The sequence below is a fragment of the Homo sapiens genome, chromosome 18, assembly GCF_000001405.40.
Source record: "Homo sapiens chromosome 18, GRCh38.p14 Primary Assembly".
Lineage (NCBI taxonomy): Eukaryota > Metazoa > Chordata > Mammalia > Primates > Hominidae > Homo > Homo sapiens.
This window is the reverse complement of record NC_000018.10, coordinates 75,486,436-75,513,367: the sequence shown is the minus strand read 5'-3', so window position 1 is coordinate 75,513,367 and position 26,932 is coordinate 75,486,436. Positions and strand designations below refer to the sequence as shown.

The 26,932-nt window shown below is 40.0% G+C and overlaps 1 long non-coding RNA gene across 1 annotated transcript, besides 2 other annotated features; it reads left to right on the top strand.

The window, feature by feature from the left end:
* Positions 2,587-3,232: an enhancer, noted in NCBI's record as "OCT4-NANOG hESC enhancer chr18:73222091-73222736 (GRCh37/hg19 assembly coordinates)". NCBI's record gives its function as "activates a minimal SCP1, AML or CMV promoter by ChIP-STARR-seq in naive H9 embryonic stem cells {active_cell/tissue: H9 hESC(naive)}" and the evidence as "EXISTENCE:reporter gene assay evidence [ECO:0000049][PMID:30033119]".
* LOC105372202 (uncharacterized) lies at positions 3,363-7,159 on the top strand. Its single transcript, XR_935640.3, has 3 exons — positions 3,363-3,483; positions 5,254-5,328; positions 6,263-7,159. It is a non-coding gene; the product is annotated as an uncharacterized LOC105372202 (long non-coding RNA).
* Positions 22,754-23,953: an enhancer, noted in NCBI's record as "P300/CBP strongly-dependent group 1 enhancer chr18:73201370-73202569 (GRCh37/hg19 assembly coordinates)". NCBI's record gives its function as "activates an origin of replication core promoter dependent on BRD2, BRD4, P300/CBP, MED14 and CDK7 cofactors, with strong dependence on P300/CBP, by STARR-seq in HCT116 cells {active_cell/tissue: HCT116}" and the evidence as "EXISTENCE:reporter gene assay evidence [ECO:0000049][PMID:35650434]".

The following is a 26,932-nucleotide window of genomic DNA, read 5'->3' as shown; positions in this document are numbered from 1 at the left end:
GAATATTATGTGAATATCTGTTAAGTCTATTTGTTCTAGGGTATAATTTAAGTCCATTGTTTCTTTGTTGACTTTCTGTCTTGATGACCTCTGTAGTGCTGTCAGTGGAGTATTGAAGTCCCCCACTATTATTGTGTTGTCATCTATCTCATTTCTTTGGTTTAGTAGTAATTGTTTTATGAATTCGGGAGCTTGGGAGTTAGGTGCATATATATTTAGGATTGTGATATTTTCTTATTGGACAAGAAATCATTATGTTTATCATTATATAACATCTCTCTTTTTCTTTTTTTTTTTTTAACTGTTGTTGCTTTAAAGTCTGTTTTGCCTGATATAAGAATAGCTACTCCTGCTCACTTTTGGTTCCCATTTGCATGAAATATTTTTTGCTACCCCTTTACCTTAAGTTTATGTGAGTCTCTATGTGTTAGATGAGGCTCTTGAAAACAGCACATACTTGGTTGGTGGATTTTTATCCATTCTGCTATTCTGTAGCTTTTAAGTGGAGCATTTAGCCATTTACATTCAATATTACTATTGAGATGTGAGGTACTGTTCTATTCATCATGCTAGTTTTTGCCTAAATATCTCGTTTTTTTCATTGTGTTATTGGTTTATAGGCCCTGTGAGATTTATGCTTTAAGGAGGTTCTGTTTTGGTGTATTTTTAGGTTTTGTTTCAAGATTTAGAACTCCTTTTAGCAGTTCTTGTGGTGTAGACTTGGTAATGGTGAATTGTCTCAGCATTTGTTTGTCTGAAAACGACCTTATCTCTCCATCATTTATGAAGCTTAGTTTTGCTGGATTCAATATTTTTAGCTGACAATTATTTTGTTTAAGGAGGCTGAAGATAGGACCCCAATCTCTTTCTTACAACCCCTTCTGGCTTGTAAGGTCTCTGCTGAGAAATCAGCTGTTAATCTGATAGGTTTTCCTTTATAGGTTACCTGATGCTTTTGTCTCACAGCTCTTAAGATTCCTTCGTTTGGACTTTAGATAACCTGATGACTATGTACCTGGGTGATGATGTTTTGTGATGAATTTCCCAGAAGTTCTTTGAGCTTCTTGTAGCAAGGCCAGAGAAGGAAGTTTTCCCCAATTATTCCCTCAAATAAGTTTTCCAAACTTTTATATTTCCCTTCTTCCTCAGGAACACCAGTTATTCTTTTTTTTTTTTTTTTTTTTTTTTTTGAGACAGAGTCTCGCTCTGTCACCCAGGCAGGACTGCGGACTGCAGTGGTGCAATCTCGGCTCACTGCAAGCTCCGCTTCCCAGGTTCACGCCATTCTCCTGCCTCAGCCTCTCGAGTAGCTGGGACTACAGGCGCCCACCACCGCGCCCGGCTAATTTTTTGTATTTTTAGTAGAGACGGGGTTTCACCTTGTTAGCCAGGATGGTCTCGATCTCCTGACCTCATGATCCACCCGCCTCGGCCTCCCAAAGTGCTGGGATTACAGGCGTGAGCCACCGCGCCCGGCCACCAGTTATTCTTAAGTTTGGCCAGTTAGCATAATCCCAAATTTCTTGGAGACTTTGTTCATTTTTTTATGCTTTTTTCTTTGTCTGTGTCTGATTGGGTTAATTCAAAAGCTTTGTCTTTGAGCTCTTAAGTTCTTTCTTCTACTTGTTCTAGTCTTGTTGAAACTTTCCACCGCATTTTGTATTTCTTTAGTTGTGTTTCATTTCCAGAAGTTGTTATTGTTTTTTTCTTTATGATATTTATTTCTCTGGAGAATTTTTCATCCATATTCTGTTTTTTAAATTTTGTTAAGTTGGTTTTCACCTTTCTTTGGCATCTCCTTGAGTAGCTTAATAATCAACCCTCTGAATTCTTTATCTGGTAATTCAGAGATTGCTTCTTGGTTTTGATCCACTGCTGGGAAGCTAGTGTGATCTTTCGAGGGTGTTATAGAACCCCGTTTCATCATATTACCAGAATTACTTCTCTGGTTCCTTGTCGTTTGAGTAGACTATTTCTTAAAATTGTTCTTGAATTTATTTCTCATTGGACTGTGTTTTTTTGTTTTTGTTTTCTTTCTTTTTTCCCTCTCAAGGATCAGACTTTAATGTTTATTTTATCCGAATTTGATTCTTGGTGATTGCAGGGGTAAAGACTCTGTATGAGATCCTTAGTTACGGAGTTTTTGTGCACTGGTTTTCCCTGATGCTCTTTGTAGTAGTTACATTCTTGATGTGTGGGTGAGTTCACTGTCTCCAATGGAGCTGGAATGGCAGGGATCTCTTGAAACTTATCCCATTCTCTCATGGTGTATACTTTATCTATATACTTAGTTTTTTCCTGGTGTTTTATTTACTGTATTGATGATTCAGGCTTCAGGCCGATCAAGGAGGTAACCCTGGGTAGGCACCCATTGTCGCTAAGGCAGGTGGGTAGATGTAACAGCCAGCAGTAGGCCGAGGCCCCAGCCTTGATGAGGGTGGCTGGAGAAGCACTCAACCAGATATGCTGAGGTTTTATCATGGTGAAGAGTGAGACCTACCTCAGTTCCCCTCCCAGGTCAGCAGCAAAGCTATTCACCTAACAGCCTTGCTCCTGTCCTGGTGTTTTAGCTATTCAGATCAGATAGGCACCTCTTTTCATCTATAGGAATGTTGATGCTCCAAGTAGGGAGGAATTGTGACTCTGCCTCTCGTGCAGGCCTGAATCTGGAGCATGGTCCTCCTGTAGGACTGCACTCAATTTGGACTGTTCCAGAAAGCCTGTCTATAGGTGCCTCCATGCTGCATTCCTGTGGGAGAAGCCCCAGCTATATCTTCACGAGAGTACCAGAGGGGAACAAGGACACCTTCTCCAAGTCCCTTCATGATCACAGAGGCTGCCTGTCTGTTGGGGTATAGGTGCAGACTTTCCCTATAGCATCAAGCACTGCAATTGTGTCTCTGCTGTGAGAAACTACACCCCAGCAGAAAGATCTGGAACTCAAGTACTGCTGTTCAGATTCTTTTGTCTTACAGATGTGGTGCTTGATGAGGTGCTCTCCTCCTTCCCCTAGGGATGGGGCTTCCTAAGAGCCAGGCTGCAGTGGTTGTTATTGCTCTTCTGGATCTAGCCACCCAGAAGGGCTACCAAGCTCCAGGCTAGTGCTGGGGGGGGGTCTGCAAAGCATCCCGTGATGTGGTCCATGTTCTGGTCTCCCAGCCATGGATACCAGCACCTGCTCTGATGGAGGTGGCAGAGGAGAGGCCCTGGTTGTAGATATGTTTTTGTGTGCTGGCTTTCTTAAATGCTGGTAATAAAATTAGTGAAGTTGCCATGTGATCAGACTCAGGGCCTCTGGTTAGCCAGAATGTTGCAGGCGGTGGGATTAACTGTTGTTTTCTCCTTCCTTGGAGCAGGGTTACTCTGTCATGAGTTACTGTAATGGCCTGAGGTGTTTGGCCTCTAGCCAGGAGGTGGCACTTGCAAGAGAGCACCAACTGCAGTAATAGAAGGGGGATATAAGCTTGTGCTAAGTTGGCCAGGGTGAGTATTCTGGTTATTCAGGTAATGGTTGGGGTCATAAAGCTCCCAAGAGTGTTTGTCTTTTGTGTTCAGCTACCAGGACAGGTAGAGAAAAACCGTCAGATGGGGGCAGGGTTTGGTGGGTCTGGGCTCAGAGTCTCCTTGGGAGGGAATTGTCGCAGTCAGTGTTGGGGATGTGGGGGTGGTTCTCAGGCCAGTGGGGTTATGTTCCAGAGGGGAGCATAGCTACCTCTGCTTAGCAGTATGGTTCACCAGGGAAGTGAGGAAAGTCAGCATTGAAAGGCTTCTCCCACCTCCCACACAGTTGGCAAGGCCAGCCTCGCTCCCACCATTCCCAACTAACAGCACTGAGTTTATCTCCAGGCAGCCTGTGTGTTGGGGGGTTGTTAGCGGGGGGGACACTCAGACCTTGCCCCAGGCCATAAGCTACTCCACTAAGCAAGTAAGTCCTCCCTATCTGCCTACTATGTCGGCTGCGGCTCCTGCCCTCCTATCTCCTATCTGCAGCAGATCCCAATCACCCCCAGATTCTGCTACAAAAAGTTAATGTCCAGTCAGAATTAATGCAAAATTCAGTTGCAAGCTTCTTACAGCCAGTGACCCTTCCCCAATTCTGCTTGGTGCCTTTTCTGAAGGCCCCTGTGAGGTATAGCCAGGGATGGCTTCTCTGGGCTCAAGCGGAGACTGGGAGAGCCTATAAGGCTCTGCCCGCTGCTGCTGCTGCTGCTACTTTTATATTTTGCACAGCTCTCTAAATCCATTTCACCTCCAGGTAAGGTTAAATCCTTCTCCCTTGATCTGGATGTTCAGATTCCCCAGTGGCGATGTGTGTTCGGAGGCATGTTTTCCCCTCTCACAGTTTGGGTGGGGACTCACAGTTTTCCACCTGTCTCATGGAATTTGCAGTGCTATGCCACTTCTTTCAAGGGATCTGTGAATTCTCTCGGTTTTCCTGCCATGGTTCTTGGAGCAAGAGTTTGTGATGTGAATCTCCAAACACTGTTCTGTCCATCCAAATGGGAGCTGCAGTTAATGTTGTCTCCTATCTGCCATCTTCTTATCATCCTTATTAGGTATTTCCCACCAGATATTCTTTGGACAGAGAAGTCTCAGATAGCTATCTGATCACAGTCTAACTGCTTAAAGAGGGGCCTTGGATGGAGGCTTCCAGGCCACAGTTTATACAAGAAGTTTTGTAATTAACTAGCTTAAACCTAGGTAGGAAAGATAACTCTCACTCATGCTCTTGGGGCCAGCAGATCTGCCTTGAGCCCTCTACCCTGGCATCAGCCAGACAGTGGGCATTCTTTTCTGCCTGCTCTTGGGAGCTATTCCCACTCACTGCAGCTTTGCCTGCTGTGGGCAAGGTCTGTTAGTTTACGGTTACAGCTCAAACTGTTCCCATGAGAGCCTGGCCTATTCTGATTTCCCCTCTTATGGAATATGGGAAGCTCTACAAATTCAGGAGAAGAGGGGCTCCTCTGATGGAAGACATTGTCTTGTAAGAACCCTTATTAGTTTAGGCTTAAAGCATGAGATGTTCTCAGTAGAAATATTCTGAAGCCAAAATAAATAAAAAAGAAAAAGTGGAAAAGAGTCAAACAGGCAATTATTTGTAATAGAAGAAAACTATTGATTTTCCTTTTTGATACATAGTCTAAATTATCCCTCCAGAAAAGTAGTAATGCATCTTTAAACAGATTTATTGGTTCTAGGAGGGGAAAATGTATTATTTAACTTCAATGCTATTGGATTTTTCTTTTATGTTAGATATAGAAATAGGACAGACAAACAGAGTGGGACGAGAAAATTCCTTCAAGAATCACAGTTGTTGTGGATCTCAAGGTAAGAGACTCTGGCATTTCTGTCAAAGCAGTACAAGTTTGTAAATAAAAGATCATTTTTCTGGCTAAATAAATTATATTGCACAGTTATGACGCGTACATTTTTCACAAGACCTAAAGTTCCTGTGGGTGGAATGAACAAACCACAGAGATCCCCCAGCGTGACCTGTAGGCTCAAGTTCTTTCTTGTGAAGGAATTTTGCCCTCAGCAGAATCCTATGACTTCTCTGATCCTGTAGCTCCAAGTCCCTTATCTGAGCTGGATTCTCCCCATGTATCTCACTCATTGGCTTCTGAGATCAGAATACACAAACTCCTGACACACAGGGATGTCTTCCAGTTGGCTACAAACAGGAGCGTGTGGTGGGTGGAAAGAGCCGGGGCCTGCTTTTCCCAGCTCCTCATCCTGGGCCTCCTTAGAAGGGACCTTGGATTCCATGGGGCGTGGCACATTTGGGGTCCGGCAGTCTGTGAGCCTGGTCCTGCATCTGTCTAGGCACCTGTTCTATGACCTTGAAAATCACCTCACCCAGGTGTTGTCATCTATCACTCAGGCAATCTCAGGTGACCTTGCTGAATCATCACAAGCAAAAACTGCTCAGAATGATTGAAAAATATTTTTCAAATATAAAAGTGCTCTAAAAGCCACGGATGAAAATTTCAAGCCACCACTACCAGCCAAGCCCCTCATCACATTTATTCTTTACAGTTCAGCAGTTTAGGAGGGTTTTGTGTTTGTTTCAATAACTGGGCTCTCTTAATTACCTAGGGATGTATTCACTGGGATTCCATATAGAATAGCCCATAAAACTAGTGGTCAGAAACCATCAGGCCCTCATGATAACAAAGGAAGCTCCTGGGCTGCCCTCCTCCCCGCTCCCTCAACCACACTTCTCCCTACAGCTGCCTGGGCGTTTTCATTTCCATGCCTGCAGGTGATGCAGATTCTGGCACAGAAAGGGAAGCACCAGCCCTGTTCTCTCCATTCCACATGGCAGTTCCTTCCTCTCTCAGGGATGACTGCAGTCTTCTGCCAGGCCTGGGGTTTTCTACTTCTAGCCTGGGAACTAGGAGTAATAAGCACGACAGAGCGATCTGCACTTGCGTCGAAGAGCTGCATTCCGTTCCAGTGGCTTTGGACTAGAAAATCTCCTTCCCTGTTCATTCAGCAAGATGAGGCAAGAGTTGTCCTGGTCATCCAACAACATAGGGCATAAAGGGTCTTCCCATGTCATCATCTGCTGTTATCTGGTACACTTTCCTCTCAACCTCCGTTCCTGTAGGTACACATGCATGACTGGACCTCATCCCTTCTACCCACAGAACTCAACAGTCGTCTATTTGAGAACCAGCAGGAGGTCATATTCTATATGTCCACATATGTATCTGGGGAGACTGGCTGGCTGCAAGGCTTTGTAACCACCTTCCAGGCAGATGACAAGATGGAACCTTCTCAACATACACCTCAGTTAAAAGTCAAGTCAATAAAAGCCTGGCTGCATGAAAGAGGATGATACATAAAGACTGGCTGTATACCTTTGTTTGATCTGAGTAAGAAATGCGTGCATTCAATGAGGCCACTGAGTTTATGATCAAACCTCCTCGTAAAGAATAGAGCACAGAGAAACCCATATTCTTACCGTGTGACAAATGAGACTGCGAACGTGGACCCTTCTTTAAAACTCCAGCTAATTCAGGTTGCAGAATGAAGTGTGCCATGTCATAATTAATCCCTCATGTATTGCAAGCAATTTAATGTCAAAATAATCAACAGGAGCGTTTTTTACCCTTTTGTGAGTACATAATAAATACTGTCATTTAGCTGCAGCAAACATCGGGTTTCTTTCCTGGTCTTTGAATAACACTCCTCGTGAGGTAAATACCAGATCTCCTTCTCCATCTCCCCACACCCCCAAGCCCTACAAACCACACATATAGACACTCTTTAGGAAAATAAATCATGAATGTCAAAAGAAAAGTAGTGTGATAATTTCTAGTTGGTACTTGGCATCGTGATTATTCTAACTTAGAGTCTAAACACGAGCTAGGGGCAAATAGCATAGCAGAAGGAAGGAATCCGAGTGGAAAGGGTGCCCTCACACTGTTTGTCATTTATTTTTTCCTAGTGGATTACTGTCAGTGACGTGACATTTATTTTTCCAAGGCTAAGTCCTCGCTATTAAATGATCAATGAATTCCTTTGGTTAAACCCAGCTCACTTTTTAAATAACGTTGTCAGAAGTGGAGTGGCCTAGTGCTTCCTTCTTTCTCTGTAGCAGGGCAGGTGTGGAGGGACCTGGGTATCTGGCTGCGTCTTCAGGCCACACTTCCTCCCCAGAGGTAGCATTTCACAGCCTTTATTGCATGCTCCACTTCCAGGGGACTAGTGTTCCTTTTGCTTTAGATAGAAGCTCTCCTGTTAAATTAACATAGTGATCAAAAAGAGAGCTCAGGAGCAAGCTTCGTGTGTATAATTAATCTCCAGTTGCTTTCGTTGAGAAATAGCTGAGCTAAAATCTAGGCTTTGAGGTGACACTTCACAACAGGTGGGAAGGCCAAAGCAGGACTCTTCTGCTTTAACAGATCTGTGTGAAAATGATTGCTAAATATTGAAGTGGAAGACAAGACCCCAAGAGGAGCTCCTTCTTGGTGATTAGTTTTTAAAGATCATGGACCAGACTTTCCCATGAAATCATGTTATGTGCTACCCTTTGGCATCTGTTCAGCCATTGTTGTAAAAGAACACAGGTCCCTCCTTTAGGTATTTACACATGTTTTGTGGATCTGCAAGAAGCTCACCAGTACTTATGTTTCACAGTAATTACAGTTTTCTTTACACCATTATCAGTTCTTAATTAACTCACATAAAGTATCTATTTTGCCAAAAGCTTTGGATAGAGGCTCCTGTGATACGGAGAAAAATAAAACACAGTTCAATCCTGCAGGCACACACACACACACACAGGCATGCACACACACAGAGGCATTCACACACAGACACACACACACATGTACACAAACGTTATTCAACAATTACAATAACATTCAATAACCTTCTGGGTGTCAGTGCCTCAGAGACCAGGACTGTTTCTCATTTCTTCTTGAATTCACAGTTCCTGCAACAATGCTTTGCACATTGTGGGTAATCAGCCACCGTCCCGGCGTGATAATGTTCACCTGGACAGGAAGGGAGGACTTTTAGGTACAGATGAGACAGCAGGTCACCTACAGAACACGTGAGCAGTGTTGGGGAACTTAAGAAGGCAGTACAATCGTTTTGCTCTCCCAGATCTTACCACACTTCTAAGGACGTTGGAATGCAGTCGAAAGGCACATGACATCTTTGAGTGGCAGCACATAAAACTGTTGACAATCAAAATACTTCTTTTGAATTACCTTACTCGATTCAATAGCCAACACTCAAGTGCATCCCAAGTGGATGGCACAGGTACAATGAGTAGGGAGAGTGGCCTGTGTGAAGAGTTCCAGAACAGCGGGCCCAGGACCCTGGGGACTTCCCAAGACTCCGGAAGTGGGGCAGGCTCTGCCCACAGGCAGAGGGGCAATAAAGACAAACCTTGCCGACCCAACAGCTCCTCATGAGCTGACTCTATTGGCAGTATATCTTTATTACTGGGAAGAATACCTCTGTCCATGCAATTCTCTAGTTCCCTATAAAGTGGCTTCAGATGTTCAGAGGCGAAAACACAGCTCAAAAAGGTTTGCAGAAGCAGCATTTAAAACCGCCAAATCAATCTCCCCTTGTAGACTTTTCTTTTAAAATAAACTTATCTCTGAAAACTGCCTCCCGAAGCTTTAGCTTTAACAGTAGAGCTTCACTGTTTTATGAGCTAGTGGTAAAATCCTAAAGCCAGCAGCTCCTCTAGGAGATACTAACACACCATTTACAGAAGTACTGCCATGAAAATAATACGTGCCAATGAAGTCACTATAAATTCACAGGCACTCACATGCACACACAATACATTGTATGTGTACAAAAAAAAAAACCCTTTTTCTACAGTGTTTCTTTCTTTAAGATGACATATAACAGCACAGACAAAACCCTCTCTGCCTCCCTTCTCACTATTCTTAGCAAATCCATGCCGGACAGAAACCATCAAAAAGCAAAGGTGGCAGGTGCCTGAATGTTTCACTTTGGCACTACTGGCCTGTCTGCACAATAACAGTAGATGCAAGAATATTTCACCAGTGTCATTGCTTAACAATGTAATATGACAGCATCCATGAAACTGATTAGCATAGATCAACATAATACCCACTTTGCAGCATTAGTATTGAAAACTTTCATCATGAAATAGTAAGAGGAAAAAGACAATACATGATGAATTGGAATGATTTTGCTGGAATGCTACCAGATGACGATGTAAGGGTGCAGGAGAACAGAGCCACATGCTAACATTCATATGTCAACATAATCATCCCAAGCAGCTTTATTTTCATTCTACAAGCTTCACACAAGTATATGCATGGTGTCTTAAATATGGCTGACAGAAACGAGCTAAAATTATCTTCACAATTCAAAACAGGTCAATGATGGGGTAATACAATGTAAAAGTTTCATGATTTGCCAAATGTACCATTTTGAGAGTCTTAAATGTAATTCCCTGAGGTTTAAACTACAGATAATTGCACCTCACAGGGCCATCACCTAAAATAAAGAAGAAAGCAGAAGTGTGTCACTGAATGACATTTTCGATAGTTGATAGATGGGTTCCACTTTTCAGGGTGATAAAGCAAAGGTCATGTGCTCTTCCAACAGCAGTAAACACATTCTCCTTCCTTTCCCTCTTTTCACTCAAACCTTCAGCTTTTTAAAAAATTCATCCAAGTATTTTCTGTGAAATCATTCTTTATTTTACTCAACTGAGGAAACCAAAGGACTTGAACATTAGTCAGAGTGGTTTTCTTGAACATTCCAGAAAATGGAACTGAACTTGGAGCAGGGGCTGGGCACATCCTTGGGATTTGCTTAATATTCAGGTACCTTGTGATGACACTGTTTACTCTTTTCATGCATCCATTCAAATTGACACATTGTGATCATACATGTGAATGAGGGTACAGTTTGGGGTTTTGATACATATATGTTGTATAATGACCCAGTCAGGGTAGTTAATATATCCATCACCTCATGTGTTTATCATTTCTTTGTGGTTAGAGCATTCACAAGCCTCTCTTCTAGCTATTTTGTAACGTACAGTACCTTACTGTTCACCATTGTCACCCTACTGTGCAATAGAACATCAGAACTTGTTCCTCTTATCGAACTGTAACTTTGTAGCCATTGACCAACCTTTCCCCATCCTTCGCTCCTCCCTTCCTTCCCCATACTCTGATAACCACTGTACTACTCTGTTTCTATTATATCAGTTTTTTTTTTAAGATTCCACATATGGGTGAGATCATGTGGTATTTATCTTTCCGTGTCTGGCTTATTTCACTTAACATGATTTAAAAAAATGGGCAAAAGACCTAAACAGACATTTCTCAAAAGAAGACACAGAAATGGCCAACAAGTATATCAAAAAATACTCAACGTCATTAGTCACCAGAAGCATGCAAATCAAAACCACAATGAGATATCACCTCACTCCAGTTACTATGGCTGTTATCAAAAAGACAAAAGAAAACAAACGTTGGTGAAGCTGTAGAAATAAAGAGAACCTTTACAGGGTTGGTTGAAACATAAATTAGTGCAACCATTATGGAAAACAGTATGGAGGTTCCTCGAAAAATTAAAAATAGAACTACCATATGATCCAGCAATCCCACTGCTGTGTATAAACCCAAAGGAAATGAAATCAGTATGTTGAAGAGATATCTGTACTCCCATGTTACTGCAGCGCTATTTACAACAGCCTGAATATGGAATCCACCTAAATGCCCAACAGATGAATGGATAAACAAGACATGGTGTATACATACAACGGAATACTACTCAACCTTATCAAAGAAAGGAAATCCTGACATTTGCAACAATATGGATGAACCTCAAGGACCCTATTTACTCTTAATGTAGCTAGAGGATGCCAGAATTTAGCTATTGAAAGTAAACCTTAATGGAAGGTGGCATATGATGTGGCTCCTGGGGTTACAAAGAGACAGCAACATGTTTACATGCAGTTTCCCTTGCTGACCCATACATGCTGGGAGCATGTGAACAAATAATAAAGGCAAGGGTTTACTTCTGGAGCAACAGTTATGGTACCTTTATCCATGCAGCTTCCCCTCTCCACCATCTATCTGTCTTTGCTACTCCCAGCACCTTGAGCACTGAGAAGGGAAAGATAGTACTGGTAGTTTTCCATTGCAACCTCGGCAATAATAAAAGCATTGTTGTATATTGAGGCCTTCTGCATCCCAGGCATCATATTCAGTACTCTTACACGTAATTTTTAATTCTTAAAATAAAATAACCCTTTGACGTAGGTGTAAGCCCATCTTACAGATGAGAGAAAAAATATGGCTTACAGAATGCAAGAAGCTGTTTCCTATTCCCACAGCACAGAAGCTAGCATTTGGACAAAAATGACCTGCATAATTAGGCATTAAGCTGCATTGCCTTCCCTGTCCAGTGGACTTCTGTGGCTATTTAGCAACAGTAGGAACTAGGCTAAGAGGTGTAGTCCAATTAATAGCTAATGATTGAATGCCAGCTATTTGCTCAATTCTAAAAAGAAAACAAGAAGACAATTAAACATTGTTCACCTTTTTTCTACCTGCTCTTACAATCTTAGCTTCTTAAAGAGCCACCCTTTGAACAACAGCAAAAATAAATACACACCCAATGCCTTATTCTTTCTCTACTTTGCAATACATCAATGACCAGTTATTTTGGTAGTACATTGATTAAATTTAGCAAAAAGAAATAAACATTTACAAATAGTTTACATATTTTAATTGGATTGCCATTTTTTATTTAATGTAGGCTTATGTCTAAACTATCTCAGAGAATTAAAAATCTGGCAATTCTGAAAGACAATTGGCCATGAAAAAAAAGGTCTCAGATCCCATTAGTGCTCTTGCATATATGAGGAGAGAGAAGGACTGTTGTAAATATGCAGTTGTTTTAACTTAAGTGGATCCTTATAGCTTTGACTTTCTGATCCCTGGTTTCAGTCCATGCTTTCTTTCAAGTCATCCATCAATAAGAATTTTCAGTTGTCTTGCAGTATGGCAGATATCTCTTCTCTGTACTTAAATAATGTTTTAAATAGCCTAATGTAACCTCATCAACAATGTGTTTACATTTCCACCACTGAGCTTTCTCGTCTTCTTGCTAGGTCTCTGCTGTAACAGCAGATCTAGTCAAATCGCCTTTCTGAGTCATAGGAATTGCTATGTAACACACACAGAAACTGGGATTTATTGTCAAGAGTTGAAATAATCCAGTGGATTTGGATATATTCTGATTCAGATGTTCATGTGCAAACATACTGGCATGATTTTCTTAACAACTATGTGTAAAGGCAGATCAAATAGAATCCAAGAGCTGGAGATAAAATTAATTGTTATAAATAATTAGGGTAACATTTTAATCATCCAAAAAGTTTATTATGCTCAATTTTAGGATTTGCAAAAGTTGTGATGACAGGATTGATAATTTATGGGTTATTGGCTATTATGCAAGGATAATGAAAATAAATGCATTGATTTGAGACTATGTATGCCAGCTTTATGCATATAAATAGACTTTAAAATCCTATTGTGTTTTATGGCTCCACATAAATAACAAAACAACCTCATGACTTGGAAACAGAGCATGTGCATCTTAAACACTCCAATAAGATGGCTTGGTTTCTTCATTTAAACTCTCATTATTAATGCCTATCTATGCATGGATATATTCCTGCTTGGGAAGATACAGAAGAAAGTAAAATCAGTGTTTCTGAAACATTGATGAGCTCATGAATCACCCAAAAGGAACCCTGTTAAAACACATATTCTGTTTCCACAGAGAAAGGAAGGGCCTAACAGTCTCTGTTTTTAACAAGCTCCTGGATGCTGCTGCTGCTGCTGCTGCTGCTGGTCCAATGACCACTCTTTGAGTAGCAAAGCATTGGACCCCTCAGTGCTCCCCAAAGCTCAATGGTAACTACATCCTTGATGTAATGATTTAGATATAGAAGAAAAGAGTTATGACTGCTATTATAAAGAATACAATACCTGGAGACATCTGCAAAATATATTTTTAGAAGCATAACTTACAGAAAGCATTATAAGCAGCTTTTGCAATTGCACAGTTTAATGGTGTTATTTGGTTCTAGGACCTCAATTGTGTGAAGTTCCTTATTCATCTCTTCACCTCCTTCAAGAAGTGACACTCTATAACTAGATGAAAAGACACATGTAAGCAAAGCTATGTTTATTCACCTAGCAAAATTAACATACAATGTTTTTCACTGAAAGCCAAGTAGAATCTTACATGACATTCAGAAAGGTTTACATCGTCTCCCTTCTCCTTCTCCTACTCCTTCATCTTCCCTCTCTTCCTCCTCCTCTTTCTTCTGCTTCATCCTCTCCTCCTCCTCCACCTCCTCCTCCTCATCCTCTTCATCCTCCTCTTGTTTCTTCATCATCTTCTTCTCCTCTTCCTCTTAGTGCTTTTATCAGCAAGGAAGTATTAATATTTTGGATTTAAAACCTCTTGTCAGTACTTTTTCTGGAGATATCAGTGTGTAAATTACCAATTACAATTTGCAGCTGACCGTACTGGTATGAGTACTTGAGTGGCTCAGAGGCTCACAGCCTCTGGATGGGAGCACAAAGGGAGCCCCCTGGATCTTCTTATAAAAAACTAGGTCACCCATCATCAATTCATGAAGCTCCCCAGCAGAAAAATGTGGAATCTATAAACTGGTCAGAACTGTAAACCTATTGATTAGAAGGTCATTCATGAGAATAAAGACGTGACATTTATGAAATGTTATGCAAGCATCGCCTCATTTAACTGTAAGTCTTTATCCCACTTTTTGTTTCAAAATGATTTACATTGGATTTTTCATAAAAAGTGTAAATGCTAACTTTTTTTTTCTATTCCCCCAAGTAGAAACAAACTTAACATTAAGGCTATGTTTTTAGGAATCTGTTACCCAAGGTCAGGCAAATAATGTGATTAAAAATGTGTTCACTGGTCTTATTAATTCAAACCTCAGGCCAATATTTTGTGAATTTCTGCAGCCTCAAACACTCGAATATGGCATTGCGCACCTTCTTTTTTGGATGACAACAACTCTAGTTAGAAAGCCATTTCTAAAGGAAGACACTGCACCAAGCAATTTTAAATTCAAGCAAATTTAAGTTTTAAATTCAATTTTAAAGTAGCAATTACTTTATCCGTCCCAAACTTCCAAAACCACTAAAGGAATTACATGAGTTCAATATTGGCAATACCACATTTTACCCACGAAACACACTCACACACTCATAAATGAATTGAAAATAGAATATAATTTAATATTGACCTTATATGAATGAATATAGAAATAAAATTTGCTTAGTATTTGAAAGACCTAGAAAAGTGAATAAAGTCACATTCTACTTTCTTAATCTCAGTTTCACAAAATATATTTTATTTATAATCTTAAATTTTTCCTAGCTCATTGGTAAAGCTTTGTTTCTTTAATATTCTCAAGTATGTTTATTTCATAAAGCTTTTCTTTCTAAAAGTCTTCTCTTTTTCTCTTAAAATGCGTGAATGCTAGGAAGTTCCAGTTTTCTCTTAGTATTGACTTTTATGTTGATGAATATGCCTTTCTTTCTTTTTTTTATTTGTATAGAAATCACATGATACTGTTTTCCTTTATTTTTGATTAAAATGTTACCTTTGATGTTCCAGGAATAAAGTAGCTCACACAAACCAAAGTAAAGATAAAACTTTGAATTTGAAAGCTAGCCAGACGGACCACCCGAGCAATATAAAAAAGCTCTAAATCAGCAGTACCATAAATCAGTCACACCATTCAAATTCACATTGTAATGAAATCTATTCTTGAGACAACTTACGACGATTCAATCTTCACTACGTATTCAGTGAGGTGGGAGGGGGAACCTGAGTGAAGTTGTTTACATCTTACTAATTCCTTTATAACTTATCAATTCAGACAACTTGTAATGTATAAACAATCTCTGCTCTAGTATCTAAACTTGGCAAATTTTTCTGTGGATTCAGACACTGAGTCAGGTGGACTGATGGCTTTTTTAGTCCCTTTAATCCCAGACTCTGCTTTGATTAGAAAGATGCTTTAAGTGGGTAGCAGCCTAAATGAGTCAAATGCAATGTCCAGAGTAGCTCTCATTCCCAGACAACACTTCCTGCTTGGAGAAACCAGAAAGCCGCAGGACATTGTTAGAAGATCTTTCTGTTACGTTGTAGTACAAAACTAAACCTATCGTTGCTTTTCTTCTTATTAAAGATGAGGTATGTGGTCCTTTTTCTAAATTCAGATCATACAAAACAATTCCATTATCCTTCATCCAAGGGCTATCTAGTCCAGGTTATTGCACCTAAATGCACTCTCAAATATGTGGAGGGGCATTTCTTCCTTGGAGACAGAAATACCAGCTTGAGAGGGAGACCCTCCTGTCTGCAGGAATATGGCCCAGATGACTTTGGAAAACAGCTCCTGGATTTGTTTCTTTAACCCAGGTTGTCTTTTATACTTTATATTTATTATATATAAAGTTTTCTTAGCAGGACAAAGGCTTAATGCAATGGTGTGTGACCATCTTCTGCGGTTTCTAACAAACTGGATCTACACTATGTTGTTTTGTTCTATCAGTGATATGAAAAAAAGAAATGTTTGGTTTTTAATTATATACATGTGATAGCAGGTACTGGAAGTGATATTTTAAGCTCCCTCAGCTTTGTTTCAAGGTTTGAGTGTAATAATTCCTATGCAAATCATTCTGTGGCAGAGTTCACTGTCACACTGATGCTGGAAAAAGAAACTTTTATATAGTAGTTGAAAGGGAGAGGAGAAATTCTGGGAGAATCCATGATGATCAGGAAACCAAACCAAGACAATTCCTTCTAGCACCCTGAATTTTTAATGTGAAATTACATAAAACAGACTCACTGTGTAAGGGTAGATGTGACTAATGTCAGTTAAGAAACACACAGCATGAGCCAAATCCTTAGAATCACAGAAAACACTAATGGAGACCCATTGCTCAGAGACTAAGCTAGCCAGGGACTGCTTTACACTAGGCCAGCCATCCCGTCAAGGGGAGCTGGGTTTTTCATTTCTACCACACCTTTTTAGAAGCAAAACAGCTGTTTATGGAAAGATATAGGTAAGTATTTTATTAGACAAAACCACATATACACTGGTCATTAGAAATATGAATACATGGAGCGCCTTAGGGTGCTGTGAGGTTTAGAGATGTCGCTCATTCATCTCCTATTGCTGTTAATCCAAACTCACAGTCTCAACCCAGAATCAGTGGATAAACACATTTTTTGAGCTTTGGAATGACAGTCAGGGTTAAAGTTGTAGCAATGACTCCAGAAGTGTCAAAACAGACGTACATTTCAACGGTGCATCAGGTGGGAGGTGGGGCGTCGAAGGGGTGGAGAGGAAAGGAGAGCTGGGAGGAGGGAGAGGCTCAGCCTTTCCATGCCTGCTTTCTGCCCCTGGAAGCCTTTTCTGCTGAATTCCCTCCCACAGTCATGGTTGAAAGGAGCTGAAGTCATCCGGTATACCATCTTCCTGCTTCTTAGGCTGTAAATCATCTGTAAAATTATGGCTTTCGTGGCACCTAGAACCATTTCTTGAGTGTGGCTCCTCAGCTATCTAATCAATTCCCCATTACTGGCATCTACGTTTTCTGAAAACACTTTAAGTTTCCTGGAAACTATTACCAAATGTTTTTACCGAATTACCAAAGTTAAGAATATTCATACTACGTTGGCTTCTACAAAGAGTTAAAATATTTAGACACCAAATTCTTGATCAATTCTATTTTTCCTCTCTTTAGAGACCCTCCAGGAGAATATAAAAAGCTCACTGTGTGAGCTACAGCTCTTTTAACGCAGCATTGCACAAACAAAGCTGCTACAGACTCACCCATCATGTATTTCAGGAGTGTCACTTGATTTAGTGCAATGGTGGTCTACACGATGCTGTTTTCAAAATAGTAATTGTGGGCCGGGTGTGGTGGCTCATGCCTGTAATCCCAGCACTTAGGGAGGCCAAGGCAGGCAGATCATCTGAAGTCAGGAGTTTGAGACCAGCCTGGCCGACATGGTGAAACCCTGTCTCTACTCAAAATACAAAAATTAGTCAGGCGTGGTCACGGGCGCCTGTAATCCCAGCTACTCAGGAGGCTGAGGCAGGAGAATCGCTTGAACCCAGGAGGTGGAGGTTGCAGTGAGCCGAGATTGTGCCACTGCACTCCAGCCTGGGTAACAGAGTAAGACTCCATCTCAAACAAACAAAAATAGTAATTGTGTTTGTGAAAATAAAATGATTCACTCCCTTGTGTAAACGCATGTGGCCTCTATTTGGCTGTGACAGCTTAAAAAAAACCTCTTTTTCAAATTTCATTTTTCTTTTCCAAATGTAATCTGTGACTTTTATGCACTGCCGGAATAAGAAGTGGCTTTTCAGAGGCAAAAATAAAAATATACTTTTTTAAAAGCCATCGGTACTTCCAGGGAATAGCTTGGAAACAAGGATGTAGTTGCTATCTAAGCCATCTATTTCTTCACGTTTAAATTTTACTCTGAAAGTTACATTGGAGAAACCACATTTTCCATTTTAAAGGGGCTACTCGTATTTGGTGACATTGCCTCCACCCAGAGGGCTCCTTCCTGTGTGTTTTTCTCGCAGCTTCTTTCCTGCCTGGACGTCCACTGCTTGCCAGGTCAGTACCCGGAAAAGTCAGCAAGAAAGGCAGGGCCAAAGGGCAATTGGCTGAAGCGAGACCCCTGCATGGGTGCAAGGCAAAGCAAGCTTTCCTGAGCACCAGGGGACCTGCCTGAACTCACTGCAGATACACATGCAAGTGCTAATCACAAGGCCACTGTGAGTCGTGTTAGGTAGGGAAACAAGCGTTCTAAACGAAAGCAAGTAAGGTCACACAATTCCTCCACTGACACCAATGCATCTTAAAGGTTCAGATGTAGAGAGACAGAGATGAGAGTTTTAGAAAACATTAATATTTACTATCCACGTTCCATATTAGCACCTGATAGGGCAGAATTTTGTGTAAAAAATGGCTACATGTCAATCTAGTAAGAATCCACTTACTGAAATAAATTCTACCATGGAAAGACCTAAGAAAAAGGAAAAGTCTAATAAATTAATCAAAATGATATCAACATAATTGAACAGAACCCACCGAATAAGTAGCATGGAAATCTCTATTTAGGTGCTTGCCCGTGTGTTAACTTCCGAAGCCCTTATACTTAAAAATTATTATACTTTCATACAAAATAAACATATAATATATATTGAGAAAGAAAATTCTAAATCGTTATGCTTATAAAAATAATAAACTAGAAATATATGGCTTTTAAACATTAACTTTTAAATTCAAAACTATTAAAACTAAGTTATTAAATAAAGTCAATGTAACAAAATTTTCTACTGGTCTTTCATAATAACTCTCTAGTCAATCAATTTACGAATTGATAGTGGAGTAATACATTTGTGTCTTTTCTACTAAAAGAACATGTAACTAAAATCCAAAGTTACTATGTTTTATTGTTTAATTAAAAATTTGAACCCTAACTTGGTTATTATGTAACAATATTATAAATACCATAATAATGTGTGCTGTTCGAATGGGGTCTCCTTTTTCACTCTTCAGACACTGGAGGCTTTGGGTTTTGTTTTACTTACAATAGTTTTGTAATTTGGGACAGCATGAATAATTAGCAGGTCTCTTATGCTATGTCCAGGTGTGAACAAGCCATCATTAACATCCAGATGAGCTGTCCGCCCAGAGTGAAGACCTGAGCGAAATCTCTCCCAGAATTCTGAGCTGCAGAGTTGATGCTCAGTGCTTATTTTAATGTTTCCTGGGATCTGCAACTTACCTAAAACACATGCACACATCCAATGTCAGAAGTTTTAATTTGGTTTTTCTAAATATTCTCAGGATAATCCAAATCCAAATAGAATCTCTCATTATAATGAACACATTGTTTTATACATTGTGTTCTCAAAGAAATTGAAATGAGTCACTGACTAGAAACAAACCATAGATTGGCATCAGTTCCGGATGAGCCTCATGGAACTGTATTCTGCCATATCTAGCCTGGTACCTCCCAAAACTGTCAGCATGCCAAGTGAACCCTCAGACTGAATTTAGAGGGACTGTATTGGGAGGTAAGGTTGGAGTAGGTAAGGTCCTCGAATGTCCTCATTCAAGAGCCCTTTCTCTGGAGAGTCTTTCCCTGTGGACCTGAGAGCTAGCATCTCCACCGGCCTTTAGTGCAGCCCTCAGACCCTCTGTTACTCAGGGCTGCCTGGCTGAATTAAGCAAGGAGAGCTGAGAAGAGTTAACTGTACGTTTTGGAGGGAATTTCTCCCACTGTCATTTGTCAACTCGTTGCTTTGTCTAGGTGACACTTGTTTATTCACATGGTATTAGCATGCTCTCATGGATCTGAAAAAGAAGTCAGTTTTCCAGGGAAAAACAGGTATCTCTACTCTGAACCCTGGGACCTGATGGGCTTGTGTCTCTGTATGCCCAGGTGCATGGGAAATGCATGCACTGCTGGTGATCTAACAATGCCACCCTGAACTCTCCCCATGATTTGCTACCTATTCCCAAAAACCTAAGAACCTGGGCTATGGCCAGCAGTAAGTGAGCAGAACAAAAGAAAGAAAAAGTCTTCATAGTATTTATGGTCCATGGCCTAAGTAGAAGGAAATACCAGAAATTTCCAAGAGAGGGACTGTTTCCAGGAGATTTTTCAGACTAATTTTGCATAACCACATTTACTTATCCAAGAGTCTTAGTTTGAATTAAGCATTTGAACTTCCGGGTGCTCATTTGAACCAAAGCCAAACTCTGAACTTTTTAGGTTTCCCTGTCATTAATCAAAATTTCGAAGATCAATGGCATGTAATGAATCAAGTATAATAGCCACCATCAATTGCAATAGCAAGGAGCCACACCAGGGGAGTACCAGAATGCTATGTTGGATAAAAATCAATCTGGCTTTGAATACCAAGTGAATCGACACTGAGATCTGATACGGAGAGAAGCTGACGCCATGGGTCAGAGGCATCTGCCATGGATAAGGAGAGGCGAGCTGCCCAGCCGCACCCAGAACACACCAAACACAGACCTTGAGGCACTTGCAGGAGGTGGCGTTGGAAGGCCTAGAATTCATGTGCTGCCCTGGCATCTCTAAGCCTCCTGGGGCCCCAGAAGCTTAACCATGAGCATCCCTGCTCTGGCCAGAAAGGCCCCCACACAATGAGAAAGACCCCATCCAACTAATTCCCCTGTCAACTGAAAGAGCCCCACCCCACTGGTCCCCCCACTGAACTAACAGGTTTCACTTCCCTGCCAGTGCACAGAGTTCTGCACACAATCCCACCTCCCCACGGAAACCAGGGGGCACCCCACCTCTTGTTACTACAAAGCCCCTGCTTGTTCTGCTGGAGTCTCTGCTGTTGAGTGCAGTCCCTGCGTGGCCCTGTGTTGTGTGCAATGTCTTCTCCTGGGGCCCTGAGTAGGTTTAATTAATAAACTTCTGTTTAATTTTCCCCATCGGGTCTTGGGTGTCATGTGTCCAGCCATCTCCTACTGTTTAGAGTGGGGGATCCTTTCTCCCACAACAGGGTGAAAAAGGGGTGATCAAATAGAGTGAGGATGTCTGTCGAGGACAATTTTGCAAATATAAGGACATTTGTGGAAATATTTCAAAAATAAAAGCCAGAGAAAATTATTTACTAAGAAGTATTTAAAACAGGACTCCAAACTCTCCTCGTGAGAGGTGTGTACATGTCTGTATACGCTGTGCACACACAAGGGAAACTGCATTATCAGGGATGGACTCTGAGTTTGGTGCAGGTCTGCTGTATACCTGCATTCCAGGAAGTTATATATCCTGGAACACTGGACCCAGAGAATACTAACAGATGTGTTGAAAAATATATGGTCTGTGGTCAAACAGGCTTGAGAAATGCTGACTGTAACAAACCTAGGTTTATTACTAATGTGTATTCTAAACCATCCCACTTACTTGTAGGGCCAATATTCCACAACAACCAATGCCAGCCTACTTAATGACTTTTGTGCTTACAAAAAAAAGCAAAGTAAGTAATCGAACATATTTTTGAACCTGTCCCCATTTTCCCACTTTTCCCCATAAATAATACACGTATTTATTTGGCACAGATAAAAAAGAAAGTAAAATCATAAGCCATCTGAAGGCATCTTCAACGAATGCTCATTCCTTTGGTCGCTCCTCCTCACCAGCATCATGCCCCACCACAAACCACAAAACATTCCCAAAATTTTGAATGCTTCTTCCTCTTTCTCAGTACATTTTCCTCATTAATAAGCAAGTGGACACCTTTAGACTCATATTCAGCCCTGCAAAGATAAAAGATGACTTGCGCAGGAAAATAAAGAGTAGTGTCCAACAAAAACACAATTGCATTTGATATAGAGGAAGACACAAAACACAGCTCCATTAATATTTTAATATTTGTTTTGGAAATGTCAGCCCATTGGTATTCAGAATATATAATTCATCATACTGTTTTTGTTTACAGAGTGTACATTGTAAAATCTCTTGATTCTAAAAGTTTTCAGGATAATATTTCGGAGAATTTTCCCACCAAGACAATACTGAAGACTAGATTGATTAAAGACAGACAGAGACAAAGAAAGGGGATAGAGATAATGATAAGCAATGTAGGAAAGAATTAGAGCCACGTAAGGTAAGGAAGGTGAGTTTGATATGCTAGACAACGGTGAGATCTACTCATTGACAAAACAAAAAGTATCAAAGACTATCTTAAAGAGCTCTAAGAATTATTTTGTACAAGAATGCTTAAATTTAATTTTAAACAAATGTATTTATTTTTAATGATTAAAGTCCAAATTGACTGTTTTACTTGGTTGCATTCTTACCATCACTGATTAACAGAAAATAATGCATACACCAGCACTATAAAATTCATAGCAGCATTAGTATAGCTAAAATAATTCAGTCATTTAGAAATTATTAAGCTAATACTATTAAACATGGTTGTACTAGATACTAGAAACAAATGCATGATTCAGACATAGTCCTTGTCCTCAAAGAATTTATAGTCTAGTCACACATTATTAAAAATATACACCAGGTTTTAATCATTCTTGCTGTTGATTTGAAGGAAAACGTCTTTTTTAGAAAATGTAAGCAACCTATACAATTGAAATCACTTTAGCCAATGGTTAAAAGTGTTTTATTTTAGTTAGTTGGTTCATACAAAACCATTTCAAATATATGGTTACCTGGACAAAAAAAGCAAGATGTCAAATGCAAGGGATAATATGACTATATCTTTATGCTCCTTGCATTGTCTCTTGGGTCATAATTTATAATAATGAAGTAATCAGCACTAAACCGTTCTTAACCCATGGCCCAAATTGGTATTTCATAAATAATATCTTACTAGAAATAAGTGACTGTACTTCTAAACCAAGATACTTGCCAAATCAATGAGGAGTAGGTGGTTTATTCAAAAAATGTTCTTCAGACAACAGACTAATTGCAAAGGGAAAAAAAACGTTAGATGTCTTATACCTTCAAGGAAAATAAGTTCCAGTTGAATTTTAAGATATTCATGTAAAAGTGAAACTATAAAAATAATAATAAATTATGGGGTAAATAATTACAAAAGTTTGGAGTGAGGACAAAGTGTCTTCAAACATGACATCAAAGCCAAAGCCGTAAAGGCCATGGCTCCGATGAGACGCATCTCTTTCAAGTCGGGGAGTACCACTGGTGCTTGTCATACAGGGTGTGTTCATTTTCCACTGCTGAGTAACACATTACCACAGACTGAATGCCTTAAAAGAACAAAAATTTACTATCTCACGATTTTTGTGAGTCATGAATTTGATGCATTCCACTTAGGGCCTCCGCTCAGCATTTCCCCAGGCTGAAATCTTGGTGTTGCCTGGCTGATCCTCATCCTGAAGCTGCACTAGAAAAAAGACCCACTTCTAAGTTCCCGCAGATGGTTGGCAGAATTCACATCCCTGTCGTCTAGCCAAGGCCCCCATTTTCTTACCAGCTGTCATCTAGGAACCCCTCGCTTCCCAGGAGTCTCTCTCAGGTCCTCACTACGTGTCCCTCTCTGCAGACAATTCAAACACGGCTGTTTGCTTCTTCAAGGCCGCAGGAGAATCTATTACTTAGAATCTCTCTTCAGGGAAGGCCTGAGCTCTCTTTTAAAGGATTTACCTGATTATGTCAGGCCAACCCAGACTGAGTCAACTAATTAAGAACCTTAAATACATCTGCAAAAGCCCTTCACTTTGCCATAAAATATTTACGGGAGCAAAATTATGTGAGGGTGACAAGCTCCACCCACACTCCAGGGGAGACGATTATCCAGAACCTGTCTAGAGGGTGGGGATGCTGGGGGCATCTTAGCATTCTGCTTCCATTCAGAAGGAGACCAATAAGTACTTTTAAATAAATGAATGACAAAATAATCCATCCAAAGAAACTTTAAGAGTGAACTTCAAACCCAGAAAAACATTTTGTGACAATACAATTTTTATTTTAGTCCACTAAGCCATAATTTTTTAATGTGCAAATAATATGAAAAGGACATTTATAAATGATTTTAAAATATGTTACATGTGATCAATTTCACAAACAATGAAATAAATGCAGATAATAACGAGATATTTACGTAAGAGTTTGGTGAAAACCCTTTTTAAGAGAACACACGGCGTTGATGCAGAAGTGTAAGAAATCATACTTCATACCACATCATACCTCGAGAAAATAAATTGATATAACCTTTATGGAGAACATTTTAGCAATATGTATCAAACACTTTTAGAGAGCTCATCCCTTTGACCTGGAAATTCCATTTTTAGTAATTGATCCTAAGGGGGAAAAATTGATAAGAATGCAAAGATGGATGTACCCCATCTGGATCAAAATAGCAGAGTAAGTGCACTCATTTTTTACCCTTTTCGCCCAATATCCCACCAAATTCAAAACAAGATAGAGAACAGAGACATCACTAGCAAGCCATAAATTTTGGCACATTTTTCTGGAGACAGCATCAAAGTCACACACAATAAATGTTATCACAAAACTAACAAAAAAAAAGACAGAGAAGGCAGAGGCAAAGAGAGTTACAGCCCATACTACATTAAAGAAAAGTCTTCAAAGATACTTCTCTTGTTTGCCTTGATCCAAACACAGAAGTAGCTGTTGGGAGAGCAAGAGTAGGCTGTGGAGAAATGTGTCCGGCTTCAGTGTCACTCTTGTCATTAACCTTGTCTTATGCATTTGTTTACATACTGGTCACTCTTGCCCCACAAGACTGTAGGTTCCATGATGACTTCAAACATTAAAATATCAAATAGTAATAATGAAACCCAACAGTGACAAGAAAAAAAAAAGCTTGTTGGGGGGCGGGGTGGGGGTGAAGACCGTGGGAATCAATCTAAATCAATCTAACTTAAAATCAATCACTTAGATTGTACCAAAGTAATAGATCCATCACCCAGCACCCCAGGATCTATCACTGTGCGAGGTCCCACTCCCTGCAGGGGTGTCTGCGTTACTGGGAATGAATGGAGCCCAGCCACATTGGTTCCTGCCTAGACACAGACCTTTGAGAATGTGAGAATTACATGATGTACCACAGGGAAAGGAATGTCTGGCTCAGGTCATAATTTTTTTTGTTACATCCATTATTGTTCTGGATGTTACTATTGTTGTTGTTATCAGGATTTTAACCTGGTTGTGTACTTCAACCACATGTAAACCAAATGCTCCTTAAAATTATCTAACTTGGCCTCTTGATCTATTCTTTACCTATCCCATTATCAGAAGAGAATGAGCCTGGAACCCCACGTCTATAAGCTATGAATGCTAGTGGGCACTTTTGATATCATTAGCTACTTGGGTTATTATCAGTTGTAGGAAAAGTTCGGCAGCATATTTGTCATATCACTATTCAATAATGACTGGAACAGAAATAAATGCAGGTATCATAATTCCTATCTTGCTATTTGACATAAATTTTGTCAACAGCTATACCCAAACACTCTCACAGTATCCTGACTAATGCAAATTGATTTCTGATGCTTCAGTCGACTATTGAATAGTCGACTGGGGATATTTTAATATCCCCAGACAAAAAGAAAAACAAAACAAAAATGTGATTTCATTTATATGGCTAAAATATATCGTCATTAATTGTATAGGAATGATTTCCAGTGGGCTGAAGTCAGGGAAATGGCTGACTAAATAGAAGAGATAACCGAAAAAAAATACATCTAAGTGGATGTATTACGAGAAAGGATGTATAGAAGAAATAAAGGAAGAATAGGTTCATTGCTACAAGCCCAGGTGTTTCAGCTTAATTCCTTGCTCAAGCTCTCTTTGTTCAGGTTATGGGAGAAATGGACCCCCAGCAGGAGTGGAATCAACTTCCGACTTCATCAGGATTCTGAAGGGAGATTCACATATGGGACATCACCACATGCTACCACAGCAACACTGAACATTGAACAGAATGTAGAGAGATTTTGTGTATACCCACTCCTCCTGCATATACATAGGCTGCCCCTAGTCAGCATCCCAAACTGGAGCGGTATATTTGTCATAGTCAATGAATGTACATTGACACATCATTGTCATGCAAAGTCCATGGTTTACATTAGAGTTCACTCTTATACGTTCTATGGGGTTGGACAAATGATTCTAAATTTTTTATGGTTACTGTAGCCTTGTAGTATGGTTTGAAGTTGGGCAACATGATGCCTCCAGCTTTATTTTTTATTCTTAGGACTGCCTTGGCTATTCAAGTTCTTTTTTGATTCCATATGTATTTTAAACTAGCTTTTTTTCTAATTTTGTGAAGAATGTCATTGTTAGTTTGATAGGAATCGCATTGAATCTGTACATTTCTTTTAAACAGTATGGCCATTTAAAAAATATTGGTTTCTCCTATCGATAAGTATGGAATATTCTTCCAAAATTGAGGAGGAGGGACTCCTTCCTAACTCATTCTATGAGGCCAGCATCATCTTGATACCAAAACCTGGTAGGACATAGAAATAAAAGAAGACTTCAAGCCAATGTATTTGATAAACATAGATGCAGAAATCCTCAACAAAATACAGCAAACTGAATCCAGTAGCACATCAAAAAGCTAATACACCATGATCAAGTAGGCTTTATCTCTGGGGTGCAAAGTTGGTTCAACATACACAAATCAATAAATATGATTCATTATATAAACAGAACTAAAAACAAAAACACATGATCATTCAACAGATATAGGAAAGGCTTTCAATAAAATTCAGCATCCCTTCATGTTAAAAACCCTCAACAAACTAGGCATTGAAGGAACATACCTCAAAATAAT